Source organism: Homo sapiens, chromosome 2 (genome assembly GCF_000001405.40).
Source record: "Homo sapiens chromosome 2, GRCh38.p14 Primary Assembly".
Taxonomy (NCBI): domain Eukaryota; kingdom Metazoa; phylum Chordata; class Mammalia; order Primates; family Hominidae; genus Homo; species Homo sapiens.
In genome coordinates this window covers 807,056-825,776 of record NC_000002.12, presented here as the reverse complement: position 1 = coordinate 825,776, position 18,721 = coordinate 807,056, and the positions used below count along the sequence as shown (strand labels likewise).

Genomic DNA, 18,721 nt, shown 5'->3' with positions numbered 1-18,721 from the left:
CATTTTATTTGTATTGCAAATTATAACACACATATAAAAAAGAACAAAATGCACAGTTTGGAAGCTTATGATCAATCAAACACTTTGGTCAAAAAGCAGAAGACTGAAAGTAACCTACGGTACTCCCTCACACCTCTCACAGTCACTACCTCCTCCTTTTTCTGAAAAAGGAACAACCAGACTGATCATTCGTAGTTGTCCTTTCCTCACTTTTCTTTCTTCATCCTTTCTACAACCTAGACCTTCACCTTTGAATACTATGGTTTTATCTTGTTTGAAATTTATGAAAATGGAATTCTGTGATCTGCACTCTTGTGTCTACCTGTTTTTATGCGACATTTCATTTGTGATATTTATCCACTTTACTGCACACATATCACTTCAGTCCATTAACTTATATTGCTTTAAACAAGGAGTCAACAAACTACCATCTGTGGGGGCCACATTCAGCTACTGTGGCCTGTTTTAGTCTACAAAGTCTTATTGGGACACAGCCATGCTCTTTCCTTTACTTGTTGGCGAAGACTGCTGCTCCCTGCAGTGGCCAGGGTGAGCCCCTGATAGAGGCCGCATGGCCTGCAGAGCCTACACCACTCACTGCCTGGCTCCTACAGAAAAGGTTTGCAGACGCCCCTGCTGTGGACTCCTCCCCCGAAGGGCTGTGTCCACACCCTGCCCCTGCTGCACGTTGGCGTCTTTCAAATCTTCAATTGTGTGAATATCCGTCCATGTGTCCTCCTGCACACAGCTCGCAGCCCTGCTCTGTGTCTTGTTAGGTGTGACATTGCCAGGTCATAAATGAGTACCTTTATTGTGGCCTGATGATGGCAATATTGCTTCCTTTTGTTTCGCCATCCATGGTGTGGTGGTATCCGTTGCGCTTTAATTTTGCATTTTCCTAATTACAGAAAGTTGTTTGCAAATGAGGTCTAAGACATTTCATACGGATATTGGGCAGCTGGATATCCTCTTCTGTAAAGGACCCATTTCAGTCTCTTACCCATCTGTTTAATTAGGCCATTTATGGTTTTGATCCTGATTTATGGGAGTTATTCTCTGTGTCAGCGACAAGCTCTCTGCCAGCTACGTGTCGCAAGGACGCTCCTGCACCGTGTGACTTGCTTTTAACTTTTTATCGGTGTCTCTGCAGGAGCAAATATTCTTAATACAAATGCAATCCAATGTGTCGATTTATTCTTTCATGGTTGTTATTCCTTGTGTCTCTTTAAAGAAATAATTCCCTAATAAAAAATGTAGATATCTTGTTATTGTTTACAATTTGTCTTCTTATGTCTTTCACATTTAGATTTAAAATTCACCCTACATTTATTTTTGTGTGCAGTATAAAGTATATATCAAGTCTCATTATTTAGTTTTCATATTTATTTGACCCAATATTATCTATTGAAGTAAAAAAAAAAAAAAAAAACACATCACTTTGCTCTCTACCCCAAACTCAGCCATAAGCTAAGTATCTGTGTCTGTGAGGGTCTGATTCTTAGCTCCAGTTTCCATTCCATCCTCCTGATGGTCTCTGCGCCCACACCGCTGGTCACTGCTGCAGGAGAAACCACCTGCCCATGGGGCAGTTCCTGGGGCCTGCATGTCTGCGTTGCCCTCAGCTCATCATTTGTCTGCCTGTATTTTATGTTTTTGAAATTATATTTCATAGGGATGGGATCTCAGTATGTTGCCCCATCTGGTCTAGAATGTCTGGCCTCGGCCTCCTAGAGCACTGGGATTACAGGCCATGCCTTGTCTCTGCCTCTATGTTAGACTCAGTTTGTCAATGTCCACAAAAGAAAAGGCCTGCAGGAATTGTCACTGAGATGACCTTGATTCTAGAGGTTATTTACCTTTACTGTGCTGAGTCTTCCAGAATCCAAACATTGCTTATTTCTTTAATTTCTTTAAAAAACATTTCATGACTTTGAGCATACTGGTCTTGCATAGATTCTGTTGCTTTTGTTAATGCCATTGTAAAACAAATCTTAAATACACACACAAAATTTATTGATTTTCAGCCTTTGTGATTTTCTAATATATGGATTTAAAACTATATGTTCTCTCCATACCATGTTTCGCCATGTGAATGTGTCTATTTTTTCTTGTTGTTCCATCAGCTTTTTGGGAAACAGCTTTATTGAGCTATACTTCAAATACCATACAATTTGCATGTTTAAATTATACAATTCGATGGTTTTGAGTATATTCACAAATACGTGCAGCCATCCCCACCCTCAACTGGATCATTTCATCAGCTCCAGGAGAAAAAGAGGAGACCCCTGCCCTTCTCCTGTTGTCCCTCCTTCCCCCGCCCACAGCTCTCAGCAGCCACTAAGCTGCCTCCTGTCTGGACAGACACTCCTCTCCTAGACTTCCATACATATACAGAGGCTCAGAGGTCTTTTGCATCTGGCCTCTCTCATTAGGCACAGTGTTTTCTAGATTATGGATGAATGATGTTCTTTTGCGTGGCTAAGCCACATCTCATTTTTACTTTTGTTCACTGATGGATATTTGGGTGGTTTCTGCCTATTGGCACTTTGACCCTTTTCCCAATGACAGATCCTAGAGAATTTGAAGTGCATTCATCTCCCACCCCATATGACTATTTCACAGGAACACCCTGCCCTTGCAGCAGGAGGTGCTCATGGCACGGGGCATGGGAAGCACGACCGGGAGGAAAGCAGGGTGTGGAGCGGCACCTGCAGCATGGCACCCTCTAACTCGGCAATGCCCACATGGCACCCAAGGGTACGAAGAGCATTGCTGGTGTATAGAGACCACCGCGTCTTCCATCTCTTATTCCTGTGGTTCACACAGATCATTTCTTTATTATTATAATTAATGTAACCATTTCTAACTTATGAGAATCACTGTTTCTTTACTCTCTGGATATAATTGGGTTACCTGTAAGTTTGACTTTTTCAAGGACCTTTATTTTCCTTTAGTGGATGCTGCTACTGTTTTGGCACTCTGTCCCTCCTGTCTGTCTCAACAGCAGCCGAGGCTCACTATTGACCTCTGGGTAGTAGATCCCATGAGAAAGAAGAGGGAAAGTCTGGAGCTTCCTGCATCCCTAGTAGAAGGAACCAGAGTTTTGAAAACCTGCTCACCACCACGGTTCCAGAGGCAGTGGGACTCCCACCAGAACCCTGGAAAAGAGGCTTTTATGAATTAATATGCTCAGTTCTGACCCAGAGTGAGGCACGCTGTCCTACAAAAGCTTATATAGCTTTTCATTTTGATTAAAGAAAAAACTCAAAATTATATTCACCACAAGCATTCTGTATTTGTTATATTATAAATTTAATTGTCTCTCGTGAACTTGTAGGGATAGGATTACAGTACTAATTCCTGGGAAATTATGTTATAGCTTCCAAACAACTACTAATTAATTAATAAGCCAACAAAGATTTACTGTGCAGCTTCTATGTGCCACACATTAGTGTGGAGCTGGATGGTGAAGGGCAGGCAAGAGCTGAAGTCTTGAGTGTATGTTCTGTGGCTGAGAAGAACAGTAAGTCAGTAAACAGAAGAGGTCATAATTCAGAATAAGAATAGATGCTTTGCTGAACATAAATGATAGGCAGAGGATGTGGATAGCCAGGGGTTGATAGAAACGTGATAAATGACAAAATTCGTCAAAGACTTGAAACTCTTCGTTAAATAAGGAACCAGATGATGCACTGTTCACAGTCACCTTTGCTTAGAAAGAGATTTTCATGTCCTAGAAGGTTCCATCACCCTACACAAAGTGCTGCTTTTGATCTAATCAATACCAGAGAGGCTGGCAGGGCATGAGGGCGGTGCCCGGGATGGAAGCTGGGGTCTGAGTGTTCCCAGGAAGCCACTGGGAGGACGTGCATCTGGGTTTGTTCCCAGCCCACCTGGCCACGCTGGTTTGTCTCCAGATGCCCAAACCAGGCACTGCTCTGCAGCGAGTGTGTAGGTGGTCGGACCGGGGGACGGCCCCATCCCTGTCAGAGGGCCAAGCCCAGCCTGCAGGCCGCTGAGCCACAGCCACACGTGGGCACCTGGCGCCCGGTCACCGCTCCCTCCGCGGGTCCACCAGGCATCTGCTTTGGAGCCGTCATGTCACGGGGCCACCCCTCCCTCCCCGTGCCATGCTGGCTTTGAGTGAGGATCGCCAGGAGACCGCTTCACAATTCTGTGACTGGTGAACAAACTGAAGTCAACCTTTTCTATAACAAAAGAGAAGACTCGGGGCGTCAGTTGGCTGAGGCCAGGTATTAGCTGAAGGTACAAATTGACGTGATTTTCAAAGCAGACACGCCTGTCTTTGCCTATATTTTCTCTGTGTTTTAGAGTCGTGGCTGGCATGTTTACAGGGTGTGTGTGGCGATGAATGCTTTCCATGAATATACAGGAGAGGACTTCTCCTTCCCACTGAACTAGAGCCTGGTGCTGAAAACGCAGTGAGCCGAGGGCGCACACAGCCTGAGATTCGAGCCCAGGCTTTGTCCTTCACTCCCGTTAAAGTGTGTCTGGGCTCCCGAAGCCTCAGCGTGTCTCGTTATGTGATGAGGATACCATTTTCCACTAATAGTCGTGGAGAGGATTAAATTAATTCCCGAATCTGAACGGCTCTGTGCAGAAGCTGGGAGAGCTCGACATTTGTCTTCTGTCTTTGCCGGGCTTGCGACACCTGCACAGGTACCTTCATCCATCGGCATCAAACTCGATCCGATTCACCGTCTTTCGGTGTCTCTCCTCTGTGGTGCACCAGCGGGAGGCTCAAGACACGTGCTCCACCCCACCCCTTCCCTTTCAACATCCTCACAGCGTTCCCTGTTTGTGTTTGGAGGCCACACAAGATTTTGTGCTTGCTCTAAGCCTTCAGCTATTTTGATGACTTCGTGAAGAAGAGACAGGAATGGCCACAGCTGTGTTAGGGACCCGGGACCCAATATGACCAACCTAACAGCAAGCACTTTATGACTGACGTGCACCTCCCACATGAGGATTTTAGTGAGAAAACCTGTGCTGTGAGGGCTCCACTTGGAATATTGAACATGGCACTGAGGGCCGAGTGCAGAGACGTGAACGTGGCACTGAGGGCCGAGTGCAGAGACGTGAACGTGGCACTGAGGGCTAGTGCAGAGACGTGGATGTGGTACTGAGGGCTGAGTGCAGAGACGTGGACGTGGCACTGAGGGCTGAGTGCAGAGACGTGGATGTGGCACTGAGGGCTGAGTGCAGGGACGTGAACGTGGCACTGAGGGCTGAGTGCAGGGACGTGAACGTGGCACTGAAGGCTGAGTGCAGAGACGTGGATGTGGCAGTGAGGGCTGAGTGCAGGGACGTGAACGTGGCACTGAGGGCTAGTGCAGACATGACGTGGTACTGAGGGCTGAGTTCAGGGATGTGAACGTGGCACTGAAGGCTGAGTGCAGAGACTTGGATGTGGCACTGGGGGCTGAGTGCAGGGATGTGAACGTGGCACTGAAGGCTGAGTGCAGAGACGTGGATGTGGCACTGAGGGCTGAGTGCAGAGATGTGATAATAAGGAATATATGCACTAAATTAATGTATCTGCAATCATTAATCATCACCAGAATATTGTGGAGGGGACTGCATTTCTGAGATGCAGGTTGGCGTGAGTTTCTGAGACCGTGAAACACACCTGTGCTGGGTCTCAGCTGACCCAGACAACCTTCCCTACCTACTCAGCTGGGTGGGTGGTGCCTGTGGACTTGCTTATGTGGCCTCTGTCATAGTCCAGGGCAACGGACCGGGGAAGGCCTCCGTGGGCCCGTGACAATTTTATGGCTCCCCTTCCCCAGTGAGGGTCAAACAGCAGCCACAAAGAGCCTCTGACTCCTCCATCTCAAGGTCTGTTTTCTGCAAAGGAGAGTTTCTAACATGAGCCTTAGAAAGCCACTAGAGTTTTGCTTTTTGTAATGATAGTCGCATTCAAAGCATGATTCCACTCTAACAAGCAAGGTGCCTGGAGGCGCAGTTTCAGAGTGTGAAATTAATGAGACTTTCATAAAGGAGGCAGCTATGAATAGAGGGAAAGGCAGGAACTCTGACAGCAACAGGGCCAAGAAGCACCCGCTCCAGCCTACCAGCCGGGCTCCCCTCCACGAGCCTGATCTCCTCAAAATCAGAGAATGGCCCACGGAGCATCTCCATGGCCCTCAGATAAGCTCCTCTGTGACACAAAAGATACCCCACAGTAGGGCCTGGAATGAGCATCAGAATGGCCTGTTCTGTCCTTCCCATATCTGAGGGTTCACTGTGCACCATGCGCTTATTCATTCAGCATTAATTGAGTACCTACTGTATGCCCAGTATTCTCCTGAGTGCAGGGCCTGCAGCAGTGAGAACCCTGGCTGTGTCCCTCATCTCAGGGGCTTCCGTGTAGATGAAGGGGATGCCCGGTGAGGACAAGGCCACCAACAACAGAAACGTAAGGACCCGGCAAGCCCAGGGTGGACGTTAACGGCAGAGAAGCAGGAGGGGTGATTGGCGGCCACTGCAGATTAGGGTGCGGGGCTCCTCTGAGCCTGCAGGTGGACATGGATGCAGAGCCGGCACCACAGGAGTGGCCGTCTTGGGACTGCCTGTGAGGACCTTCCTGGGGGATGGAGCAGCTGATTCAGAAATCCCGGGCAGAACATCTTTTCTCATAGTGTCCTCATCTGGCTTTGGTATCAGCATAATTCTGGCCTCATAAAATGAATTAGGAAGTGTCCTCTCTCCTTCAGTTTTTTTAAAGCATTTGAGGAGGATGGGTGTTACTTCCTTAAATGCCTGTAGGATTTATCAGTAAAGCCGTTAGGCCCTTCCTTGGCTTTTCTTTGATGGAAATTTTTTTTTGTTTTAATTATGAATCCAATCTCTGTACTATTTAGGTCTCCTCAGACATTCTGTTCCTCATAGTTCAGTCTTGCCAGGTCGTATGTGTCTATGGATCTGTCCATTTCTTTGGGGCCATCCGGTTTGTTGCTGTGTAATTGCTTACACTGGTCGTGTGACCCTTCATATTTCTGTGGGCCGTCCGGTTTGTTGTGGCATAATTGTTTACACTGGTCATCTGACCCTTCGTCTTTCTGTGGTGTTAGCTATGAGGTCTCCTCCTTCATTTCCCGTTTTATTTATTTGAGTCTTTCTTAATTAGTCCAGGTAAAGTTTTGTTGACTGTTTATCTTCTCAAAAAGCCAACCGTTCACATTGGTAGTGTATTTGTTTTTGTTTTAGTATCAAAAAAAGACAAGAAAGAGGATCATGATATGAAACCAGGGAGGTGGACCCGGGGGAGGCTGGGATGCAGATGGGGCCAGATCATGGAGCTTTATAAATCAGGGAGAAGAATCCTGAGTCCAGTGGAAAGCCATTAAAGGTTTCAATTAAGACATGACATCTGATTTAGGTCTTGTAGAAAGATCATCTGGCAGCTCTGTGGAGACAGGACCATAAGGGGTGATGCCCCAGGGGAATCACTGCAGCCCAGGCAGATATGGCCTGGGTGGGGCGAGGGGTGCAGATGGAGAGAGATCACGCATCGGCCTTTCAGACTCTTCTGAGCATGTGTCTTCTTGGTCCCCTGGCCTACTCTGGAGTCTCTGTCTCATGTGGGCAGGAGAGAGGCGCCCAGGTCTCTGCTCTCCAGAATCCCTGGGGGCCTCTGAACCTGGGTCATCAGACGTCTTCCACTGTCAGCCCTTTGAATGGATTTTAAATCAGTTAAAGCATTATGGGATTATTTTTAATGGTGAGAAACAAAAGGGAATTGTACACTATGCATATGTGTGTCCATGCATGCATTAGTGTGTGTCCACGCATGAATTGCTGTGTGCGTCATGTATGTGTGTGCATGTGTATCCTGTGTGCATGAATGTGCATCACATATGCATGTGTGTGTCCTGCATGTGTGTATACATGAATGTGCATTTTTGTATGTGTCATTTATGTGTGTGCAAGGTGTGTGTTTGTGTGTCTTGCGTGTGTGTATGCATGAATGAGCATCTGGAGTGCATGTGTGTGTCATGAAAGTGTGTGCACATGTGTGTCCTGCATGTATGTATGCATGAATGTGCATCATGTGTGTGTTATTATGAAAGATGAGGCTTCAGTCCCCACAAAACTTGTGTCATCCCTCGGAAGTCTGCAGCACACCCAGCAGACATTTCCTCTGGTGGCAGAGGGTACACAGTGCACAGGCCCTTCCCTGGGTTGCTTCCATGGTAGGGTTTCATCCTTGTGCTAATATTACAATAACAAGAAACGCCACATTTCAATTTGGGTAACAATGCTTCAAGGTGGAGCAGCACATGGTCTGACTAATTCCAGGTGTGGGAATGTCTGGGCAGAGTTCTGGCCACATTTGCATCTGGGACAGGAGCACAGACACGGTTTAAATGCCATATATTTGCCTCTGTGAAAGTCCTTGTCTGCACTAACAATCTGTCAAATAATCCTCCTGCCTTGCCCAATATCCCTTCCTTATGCTGGGAAGGTAAACCTTGTCTGGAGAATCCCCAGGCCCCTGGCATCTCTGCCCTTTGATATGGAGCTAAGTGAACTCTGTGGAAGGTCTCAGTCTGGAACAAGCTGCTGCACAGGGCCCAGCCGACCAGACCGGAATGAGCCGCAGGTCCCACACCATAAAGGAGGAGCTGAGAGATTTATTTATCTGACCTCCGGAGACATCAGGAGAAAGCCCACAGAAGCCAGATCTCCAAATGGGCCGGTCCTAGCGGGCATGGTAAGCAGGTTCCTCTGCTTCAACCTTGACAAGAAAAGTAACCAGACCCACCGGAGTCCTTTACGAGAGACGGTCGTCTGTTCTACTGCTCTACTCTTGTTCGACTGTTCTACTCTTATAAAAGAGACAACCCCCTTGTGTTGTGTTTCCCGCTTCCTTTTCTGTCTATAAAATCACAGCCTCCTCTGCTAGGTTCATTGGGATGGGCATTCTCAACACTGATCAAGATCTTTAATCTAAACTTGTTGTAATTTTGTCTTCTGGCACTGGCAACGGGAGGTTCTGGAATGGCCTCATGGCCTTGTCCTTCTCTTCTTTGCTCCCCACTCTCCTAACTGTACCTTAAGGGGTCTCTCAATTACATGTGTGGACATTGGAGTCCAGTTCCCCATCCAGCCACCCCAGAGCAGCTGCCCTGACCAGCCCCCCTCCCTGCAAGCACTGGGCTCCCTGCGAGCACCAGGCTGGGCACGCATCTCCCTTCCTTGGTGCTCACCCACTTGAGAGCAGACCCAGAGTGACATTGACAGGCAGACAGGGTGCACCCCATACACCTGGGCCAAGTCTGCGGCTGACTGCACCCTCCTCCTCACCATGCAGGCTCAAGGGAGGGACTGCCGGGCCCTGACCCAGAGGCCAGGTTTCTGATCTGTCTTGGCCACAGGGAGGTCACACTCTTCTCTAAAGTTCAGCTTTACCACCTGAAAAGGAGGAAGTCAATCATTCTGACGTTTCCTCTTGGCTCTTACAATCTATGATACCCACTAATTCGAGGACAGATCCCAGTAATTATCTTCAACCAAAGAATTAAAACAATAGACAAAAATGAGACCTTGACTCATATAATTAAAGGTTATGTTCTGATTAGGACAGGAAAATTAACATATGCGTTAGAGTTTGAAGTCCGAATTTTGGACCATATTGCCATATGGAAATTAAGAGCAGGCTGATAAACACAGTCCCAGCTTTGGGCATGAAGAATCCCTTTTGTTCCAGATCTAAACAGCACCTGCATGGGTTGAATGAGTGATTTAGCCTTGAAGTCAATACTTGAAATAGAAAATTGGGATTTCTTCTTTCCTCTGCCAACTCTTTGCCAGAGGCACTACTGAGCCATGATGTGCTTCAAAGAGGGTCAGAATGAACGATGGGATGCATCTAGTTATAATAATTTACTCTTAATAATATATAATAAAAGCTTGGAAATCCACATTAGAAATGTATGATCTTTAAATATAAAAAGCCAAATTTGTGCATTATTTATTTCAAGAAACCATGTGCATGAATTTTTAATATTTAATGTCATTGCATTTGGTGTTTGAGAATTTACTCATCAATATAGTTCACATCATAGTTTAAAATATTCTTTTAACTGGAAATGATGATGGAAGCCTATAAAATGGTCAACACTTTGAACAAAAATCTAGATTGTTTTATACAATAAAGACAATAAAATAAATTCAAATGAGAAGAGAAATAAACACAAGATTATTATAGTAAAGATGATGTCTTCAGGATCATCAGAGACTGCTGATGCTTTTGATTCAGGGCCCAAGGGCTTTCATGTCCTGATGACCAGACCATTCAGGGTGACCATGTAAGAACCCGCTCCACCTTCCACATCACAGCATCCGATTTGCCACTGATGCCCATGATGGAACTGAAACAACATTTTTGTCATTGCAGTTTGAGTGTTCCTTGCCTTCGGATGCCCACTCTCTGCTTGGAGGGAATGCCCATGATTTTAGTTGTTGGACAGCTTTTGGTTTTGATTTTTAATTACAAAGAAAAAGCACACAACTATTACAGAGTGCCTCTCATAGATGTTAGTTTCAGAGCAAATTTTGGGACAAATTAATAAGTGACCCCAGCAAATGATCTCAATTCAAAGCACAGCTCCCTTTGGTATTCATTCCATGGGCGGCATTTGTGAGCCAGGCCCACATACTCGGGAGTGATGGACCAGACACCCTCTGCGGTGCCCCCTCGTTCCCCAGGTCCCAAACCACACGGGACAGCAGTTTAGAGAATCACCAGGACTTGGCCTCTGACCTTTGTGGTGACTGAGATAGGAAAATTCATTTGTCTGGCCACAGTCTAAGGGAGGGCTGTGTAACATCCCAAAACACTATGGGTAAAATCAACCCGCTCAGTTGGCCACTCCCATTCAGTGATCTCAGTGGACCCTAATGGGTAGGAAGCCCAGTCTCCCTATTCCAGACCGACTTTCTCTCTGATCCCCCACTCCTGTGCCGCCCTGGAATTTTCAGAGCAGGAACAGGCCTCTGGCCTACGTGTAAGGCTCACTCATGCCCTTGCTGTATGTGAGGTGTAAGCGCTTGATGTAAACATTCCCCACAAACGGCCATATTTGATCTGCTAATACACGTCCGTCTCTGGACATTGGAGCTACTGGCATTCCCGGTTTCCTTGCTCTTCGGTGTCTGTGTGTCCAGTTTGCTTTGCCCGCTCCTGGTCCACCTGCCCAGAACGGGGATGATGCTGCATCCTCCCCTCTCCCCAGGAGCTCTATCCCAGTGATCTTAGTGCTTTGCCTTATTTTGATGACCCCCTCCCCCAATGCTATTAATTCCTAAAAATGTGTCTCCCCCTGGGTCCTCATCAGAGAGTTTGGGTCCCATGTGTGACTCTTTGAATGGCATATTCACTGGTATGCCACCAAGATGTGTCAAAGCTGAACTCATAATCACCTCCTGCCTCTGGGCTCAAATTCCCTTTGTCCAAGTCCTCCTTTCTCAGTATGCAACCAGGAAGTTCTCATTCCAGTTACTGCTGAATGTCTGGGCTCAAATTCCCTTTGTCCAAGTCCTCCTTTCTCAGTATGCAACCAGGAAGTTCTCATTCCAGTTACTGTGGAATGTCTGGAGGAACACCAATACTTTGCCAAGACAACTAAAACATTTGGACAAAATCGGGGGGAGCATCCATGCATATGCAAATTAGGCAGGTCTCATGGTTTCAGATCTTAAGAAAATAAGACTCAGAAAAGTGATGGTCCTATCAGTGTTGTCTTTCTATTGAGGCATTTTAAAAATGTGTAACCTCCGTGAATCAAGAAGCTAAGAAACCCAAGAGAACAGAGCTGCAAATCAGACTGGATTCTGGGCGGTGCTGGAGGTGGAAGTTGAGACCAGGATTTCTGAAGAGTGAGGGGCCCCAGGGATCCCATAGGCTCCTTCAGGGTACCCTGGAAGCCCCTGCTCTAAGGGTACCCTGGAAGCCCTTGCCCTGAGGGGTGAGTGGGATAATCAGAGCCTCCTGCAAGCCACACGCCAGCCTCCTGGTAACTGAAATCTCCACTTTAGGTGTAACGTATGGCCCACATATTGGCATTAACATTGGCCATTTAAATGACAGCTTTATACACACATGAAATAGATAATAGCACGGATAGTTTTACCACAATGATGGAATCCATATAAAAGAAGCAAATAGAAATTCTAGAATCGAGGAGACAATCGCTGTAATGAAGAGCTCACCGGATGTAAATGCCAGAGTGGGCAGAGCAAAGAAGAATCAATGCCGTAGAAGTTACTTTGTTAGAAAATACTGAAGTTGAAGAACAGAGAGCCAAAAAATGCAGACACCATATGAAAGGCATACTGGACATGATAAAATGTCTAACATGCATGCAATTGGATTGATAAAAACCAAAGCATGTCAGTAAACATTCTAATTCAAGCATAGTACAGATGAAAAAAAATAATAAAAAAGCAACACCATGTCAACTGTGCCAGGGACAGAATCAAAAGCTGGAACTCATGGGCCATGTGAGCCCCAGAAGAGAATAATAACACATCAAAATGGATGAAACATTTGTAGAAAATAACTTAATCAGAAACAGTGATTCTCAGCTCCAGGAAACACAGCAAGCCGTCAGAGGCCAGAGGCTGAAAGCTGAAGATAAGCTGGACTCTTAGGAGCCACCTGATAGGAACAATGATACAGCTGACTAATGATGCTTTGTCACAAAACTAATGGAATACAGAAGAATGGCGTGAACCCGGGAGGCGGAGCTTGCAGTGAGCCGAGATCGCGCCACTGCACTCCAGCCTGGGCGACAGAGCGAGACTCCGTCTCAAAAAAAAAAAAAAAAAAAAAAAAGAAGAAAATGTCACCAAAAATAAAAAGACTTTCAACTGACAAACATATCTAGAAAAACTATCTTTCAAAGATGAAGGGTAAATAAAAACATTTTAAGATGAATTAAAGCTGGATGAGTGTGTTGCCAGCAGATCCACACTTCAAAAAACGCTAAAGAAAATTCTTCAGGCTGAAGAGAAATTATACCCGATGAAAAATGGTGTCATAAAGTAATGAAGAATACTAGAGATAATAAATATGAAAATAAATAAAAACAATTATTTTCCTTCTTTGCTTAAATTCTTCAAAATTAATTGGTTATTTCAAACAAAAATAGAAAAGATAGTTTTATAACATAAAATTTAAATGTGAGGCAACACTTGCAGATAGCAGGGAAGACAAGTGGATTTATAGTAGCATGAGGTTATTTTACTGTAGATGAAGTCACACAATATTACATCAGAGTAGACCATAAAAATAAAAATGGATATAATAATTTTAAGAGAAAACACTGAAAAAAATAATGCAGTCAAAAAGTCAATAAAAGGACGAAATGCATAATAAAATTTACTAATTTATGCCAAAATAAAACAGGAAAATAAAAGGACAAGAAAAGAGGACATACTGAAAAGGAATGTTGAGGTGGGAGGCCTCTATTCACAGGCAGAGCGTCGGTGAGGCTGTCAGTGAACCTTGGGCCTCATGACGTTGGGAGACCTCAATTCACAGGCAGAGTGTCGGTGAGGCTGTCAGTGAACCTTGGGCCTCATGACGTTGGGAGACCTCAATTCACAGGCAGAGTGTTGGTGAGGCTGTCAGTGCCCTTGGGACTCATGACGTTGGGAGACCTCGATTCACAGGCAGAGTGTCGGTGAGGCTGTCGGTGCCCTTGGGACTCATGACGTTGGGAGACCTTGATTCACAGGCAGAGCATCGGTGAGGCTGTCAGTAAACCTTGGGCCTCATGACATTGGGGGACCTCGATTCACAGGCAGAGCGTTGGTGAGGCTGTTGGTGCCCTTGGGCCTCATGACGTTAGGAGGCCTTGATTCACAGGCAGAGTGTCAGTGAGGCTGTCGATGACCCTTGGGACTCATGATGTTGGGAGGCCTCTATTCACAGGTAGAGCCTTGGGGAGGCTGTCGGTGACCCTTGGGACTCATGAAATTCTTCAAAATGAGGTTAATGTGGTGGACAGACCAGACCCTAGCAGCGTCACATTTTCATGACTGTATAATCCCTTCCTTTGAGTGTGGGTGGGACCAGTCACTTGTTTCTAACCAATATAAAATGGCAGCAGTGATGGGAATCACTCTCTTCGTTACATGACCATATTCATATATAGCTCTGTCTTGCTCACATTCACCAGAAGGACTCTCTTTCCACTACTGCCTTGAATAAGTGAGTTGCTGCATCATGAGAGGCCTCTGGAGGTGTCAATGGCAAGGAACTGCAGGGGAGCTGTATCCGCTGGCTGAAAGGAGCCCCCAGCTGACATCCACAACAGAACAGAACCTTAGTCCTCCAACTACAAGGAGATGAATTCAGCCAACAACACGAAGGAGCTTGGAAGCAGACCTTTCCCTTCCCCAGTTCAACCTCTGATGAGCCCACAGCCTTGGCCAACACCCGGACTGTAGCCTTTTGAGACCCTGAGCAGATGACACAGCTAAGCTGAACCCTGACTTTTCACCTACAGAAACTGTGAGATAATAAAAGAGTGTTGAGCTTCTAAGTTTTTGGTAATGTGTTATGCAGCAATAAAAAAACTAGTATGTCCATTGAAAACAAATGAGGCTTGGCCGGGCATGGTGGCTCACACCTGTAATCCCAGCACTTTGGGAGGCTGAGGCTGATGGATTGCCTGAGGTCAGGAGTTTGAGACCAGCCTGGCTAACATGGTAAAACCCCATCTCTACTAAAAATGCAAAAAAGAAAATTAGCTGGGCATGGTGGCACATGGCTGTAGTCCCAGCTACTTGGGAGGCTGAGGCAGGAGAATTGTTTGAACCCAGGAGGCGGAGGTTGCAGTGAGCCAAGATTGTGCCACTGCACCCCAGCCTGGGCCACAGAGCAAGACTCCATTCCAAAAAAAAAGAGGCTTAACTAACCACACATGAAACACGCAGGAAGAACACAGTAAGCTGGTATGGAGGTGCCAGGGGATGGGTTCCCTTCTGTGTTCTTTCTCTTATCTTTCCAGTCATAAACTATAAACTGTTCCCTGAACATCTCAACACAGGATTTGCAGAGTTTTACTGACTGTCAAATATCTTCCCACATGTCCTGTCATCATGAGCTTGTGTCTAACAAGACCCATGCTGCACGGGGCCACAGGTCCTCATCATGTGACAGTTTTATCACTAGGCACAGGTGCACTCCACAGGGGTGTGGATCCCTGTCCTCAGATAAACAACCTGCAGCAGGCTTTCCCAGCTCTATGTACTGAAGGAGTCTTAGAAATCAGAACTCACAGCCATCTGGATGGAGTTTTCTTTGTAGGAAGGTTTTAATTAACAAATTCAAATTTCAGGCTATACTGATTTTGTATTTTTTGTTCATCACCTTTGTAAATTATATTTTCAATGAATTTGATGATTTCATCTATGTTGCTATTTATCACATTCCTTATAATTTTAATGTCTCTAGGATCTCTACTGGTGCCTCCTCTTACATAATGACTTATTTTTGGAAATTTGGGTTTGTTAATCGATTTGCCTAAGGGCTTATCAATTTTCTAATCATTTTGAAGCACAGATTTTTGCACATAATGGTCAGATCTGCCCCAATGGCTCATCGTGCTTCTCAGAAAGCAGTTTGTCCATTTCTTACTATTTGGATATGTAGATTTTTTTCTACTTTTCCACCCTAACGTGAACATCTGAATATATTTCCTTATATAAATATATTAGTGATACTCTAAGATATATTTTAAAGCTGGAATTGCTATGTTATAGCAGATGCACACTGAAATTTTAATGGACACTGTAAAATGGCTCTTCAGCCTGGTTGTATAAATATCTACTCCAACATCTTGTTTATAAGAGTTCATTTTCTCTACATCCATGATAACTTACTTGCCCATATCTGTTATTTTTTTAAAGCAAATAACTAAGAAATTACATCTTTGATGTCTGTACTCTTAATTAACAGTGATGCTGATTTTTTTCATAAACTTATTATCTATTTGGTTATTTTCTCCTGGGTGAATTATCCATTCTTTGTCTGTTTCCTTTTTTTCTCATTTGTCTCCATGTATTTGATGAGTAGATGGCCTTTATGTAATCCTGATACTAATGCTGTATTACACATTGCAAATAACTTCCCAAACTAAAATCTGGCTAGATATGCAATTTCTATAGTGTATTTTTAACTTGTATTTTCTATTTAGAGAACCACTGTGTTCACAAATAATGAATATTTCCCCCATATTCCCATTGACTTGCTTCATTTCACTTGCTAACACCTGCAGTAAAATTTTGAAATTTATGAAAATTTATAAAAAAGACATTTTTAGTCTTGCCTTAAGTGGAAATGAAGGTAATTTTTCACTATTAAAGGATTGATATAAGGTTGTGGTAGATACTTTTTTAAAAAATCAAATTTAAGAAATCTCTTTTATTATTATTTTATAAATATTTGTATTGTAACTGATTGGTTGAATTGTATCAATTTTTTTTCTTCTGTTGAAATGGCTTTTATTTTTTACCCTTTCAATTTGTTAAGGTAATGAAGAAGGTAAATGATAGGTTGTTTAGCTCTTGAATAATCTTTGTATTCCTGAGATAAGTGTTAATTACTCAAGATGGATTTATGTTTCTTTGTAAACAGCTACGTATGACTTATTTATTTTATTTAAGCTTTTTGTATCTGTGTTCATAAATAATGTTGAACTATGATTACTGTTTTGTTTTGCCTTTAAAAAACAAAATTTTCACACTTTTTTATAAAAAAAATACTTCAATTCAGCAACGTCTTGTTTTGTTGCTGACTTATGTCCTCACATTGCTTGCAGACACTGACCCTTTTCTTAGGGTCAAATTCTCTTCTGGTTGAAATGGTCTTTTAGATTTTTTCAATTGTTTCAAATGAGAGATTGGAGCTCCTAATCTTTCTTTGAATAAAATTATTTTATTCTTATATTTTTATATAACTCCTTATTGTGGAAAATTTCAAATACATACCTAGGGGAGATTATGGCATAATTAACTCTAATTTACCCATGACCTGCCTTGAGCATTGATCAGCTCAGAGCCCATCTCATTTCCTCTGCTTCTCACCCTCTCCCCTTGCCCAAGATGACCTCATTCAATACCTTGGCCTAGGTCTAGCCTTCTTTCTATCGCTGTACCAATTCTTTTGTCCATTTTGTACTATCTGGATACTTATATTTTTTCTACCTTTTCACCTGATCAAATTATGTGCCAGTGAATATCCTTGTATGTTTCCTTATTCCATTGTGCTAGTAATTCCAATGTATATTTCTGCACATATTTCTAAATATTTCTACATGTATATTCAAAAGACACACCAACACCTTTAAACATAGTGACAATTTATTATCAAACTTGAAATTAATCCACAGTAATCTCTTAATATCATCAAATATTCAAGCACTCCTCACATTTCTATAATCATTCTAATGAATTTAAAATACATTTTAAGGCCAGGCGTGATGGCTCATGCCTGTAATCCCAGCACTTTGGGAGGTCGAGGTGGGCAGATCACAAGGTCAAGAAATCGAGACTATCCTGGCCAACATGGTGAAACCCCGTCTCTACTAAAAATACAAAAATTAGCTGGGCATGATGGTTCGCGCCTGTAGTCCCAGCTACTTGGGAGGCTGAGGCAGGAGAATTGCTTGAACCTGGGAGGCGGAGGTTGCAGTGAGCTGAGATCATGCCACTGCACTCCAGCCTGGGTGAAAAAGCGAGACTCTGTCTCAAAAAAATAAATAGTTTGTGCAGTTGAAACAATTCAAACACGTTACATGAATTATTATTAATTAAAATATCCCTGAAGACTCTACTGCTCTAGGTATTCCTCCTTCATTTCTTTTTTTTCCCCTTACATTTTTTTTTTTTTTTTTGCTGTTGTTGAAGAAACTGGATTTTTTGTTATATGGATGTCCTATTAGCTAGTTTAGCGATCATAGTTCTCATTTTTTTAAGTACTTTTTTTTTCTGTTCCCCATACTTCCAGTAAATGGATAGATCAAGATGCTTAACCGTATTCATGGTTGATGTTTTTGGCAAGAGTATTTATCGTGATCTTGTGTACAACTGTCAAGAAGGGCAGACGTGGAGGCTGAAGCAGCTCCACCTTGGATAACAACCTGCCATGTTGACTTTCGATTAACTCCAGTTCCAGGAAGTCCTCTAAGATTTCCAGTTTATCTTGAGACAGCATAAGGACAGGACTTGGCCCCCATAGGAACTTGGCCCATTCCCACTGATGTGTCTTCCCATGCACATCAGCTAAGCACCTGAGCTCGCCCCACCACCCCCACTGTCTCCATAGACCCTGGAGAAACCAAGCTAACAAGGGTTCCACTGGAAACCTTACTCACGGGAGTCACCTCTATCACTGGCATGTGCACAAGACCAGAAGAACGGCTGAGCTTTACCTCTTGCCTCATTAGAATGGTAAAATCCCCACCCAGGAGGGGCATAGGTGTTATTTATTATGCACGATGTATGTATCAGCCTGATTTTTCACTGTGCCCATGCACCCCGAGCTCTGTCCCACACATGTAATGATGTTCGCATGCTTCATGCTTATCTCTGACATCCTTCCTAACACACCGAAAAGACCTGCCCTCGGGGAGCCAGCCCGAGACCTCTCTCTCCAGTGCTGTCCCCTCGTATTCAAGCACAGACT

The 18,721-nt window shown here is 44.2% G+C and overlaps 1 long non-coding RNA gene across 2 annotated transcripts in view, besides 1 other annotated feature; it reads left to right on the top strand.

The window, feature by feature from the left end:
- The window catches only part of LINC01115 (long intergenic non-protein coding RNA 1115), an 88,587-nt gene that overhangs the window by 42,650 nt on the left and 27,216 nt on the right, over nt 1-18,721 (top strand). The window lies entirely within an intron of this gene.
- Nucleotides 4,809-5,342: an enhancer, noted in NCBI's record as "H3K4me1 hESC enhancer chr2:816439-816939 (GRCh37/hg19 assembly coordinates)". NCBI's record gives its function as "activates a minimal SCP1, AML or CMV promoter by ChIP-STARR-seq in naive H9 embryonic stem cells {active_cell/tissue: H9 hESC(naive)}" and the evidence as "EXISTENCE:reporter gene assay evidence [ECO:0000049][PMID:30033119]".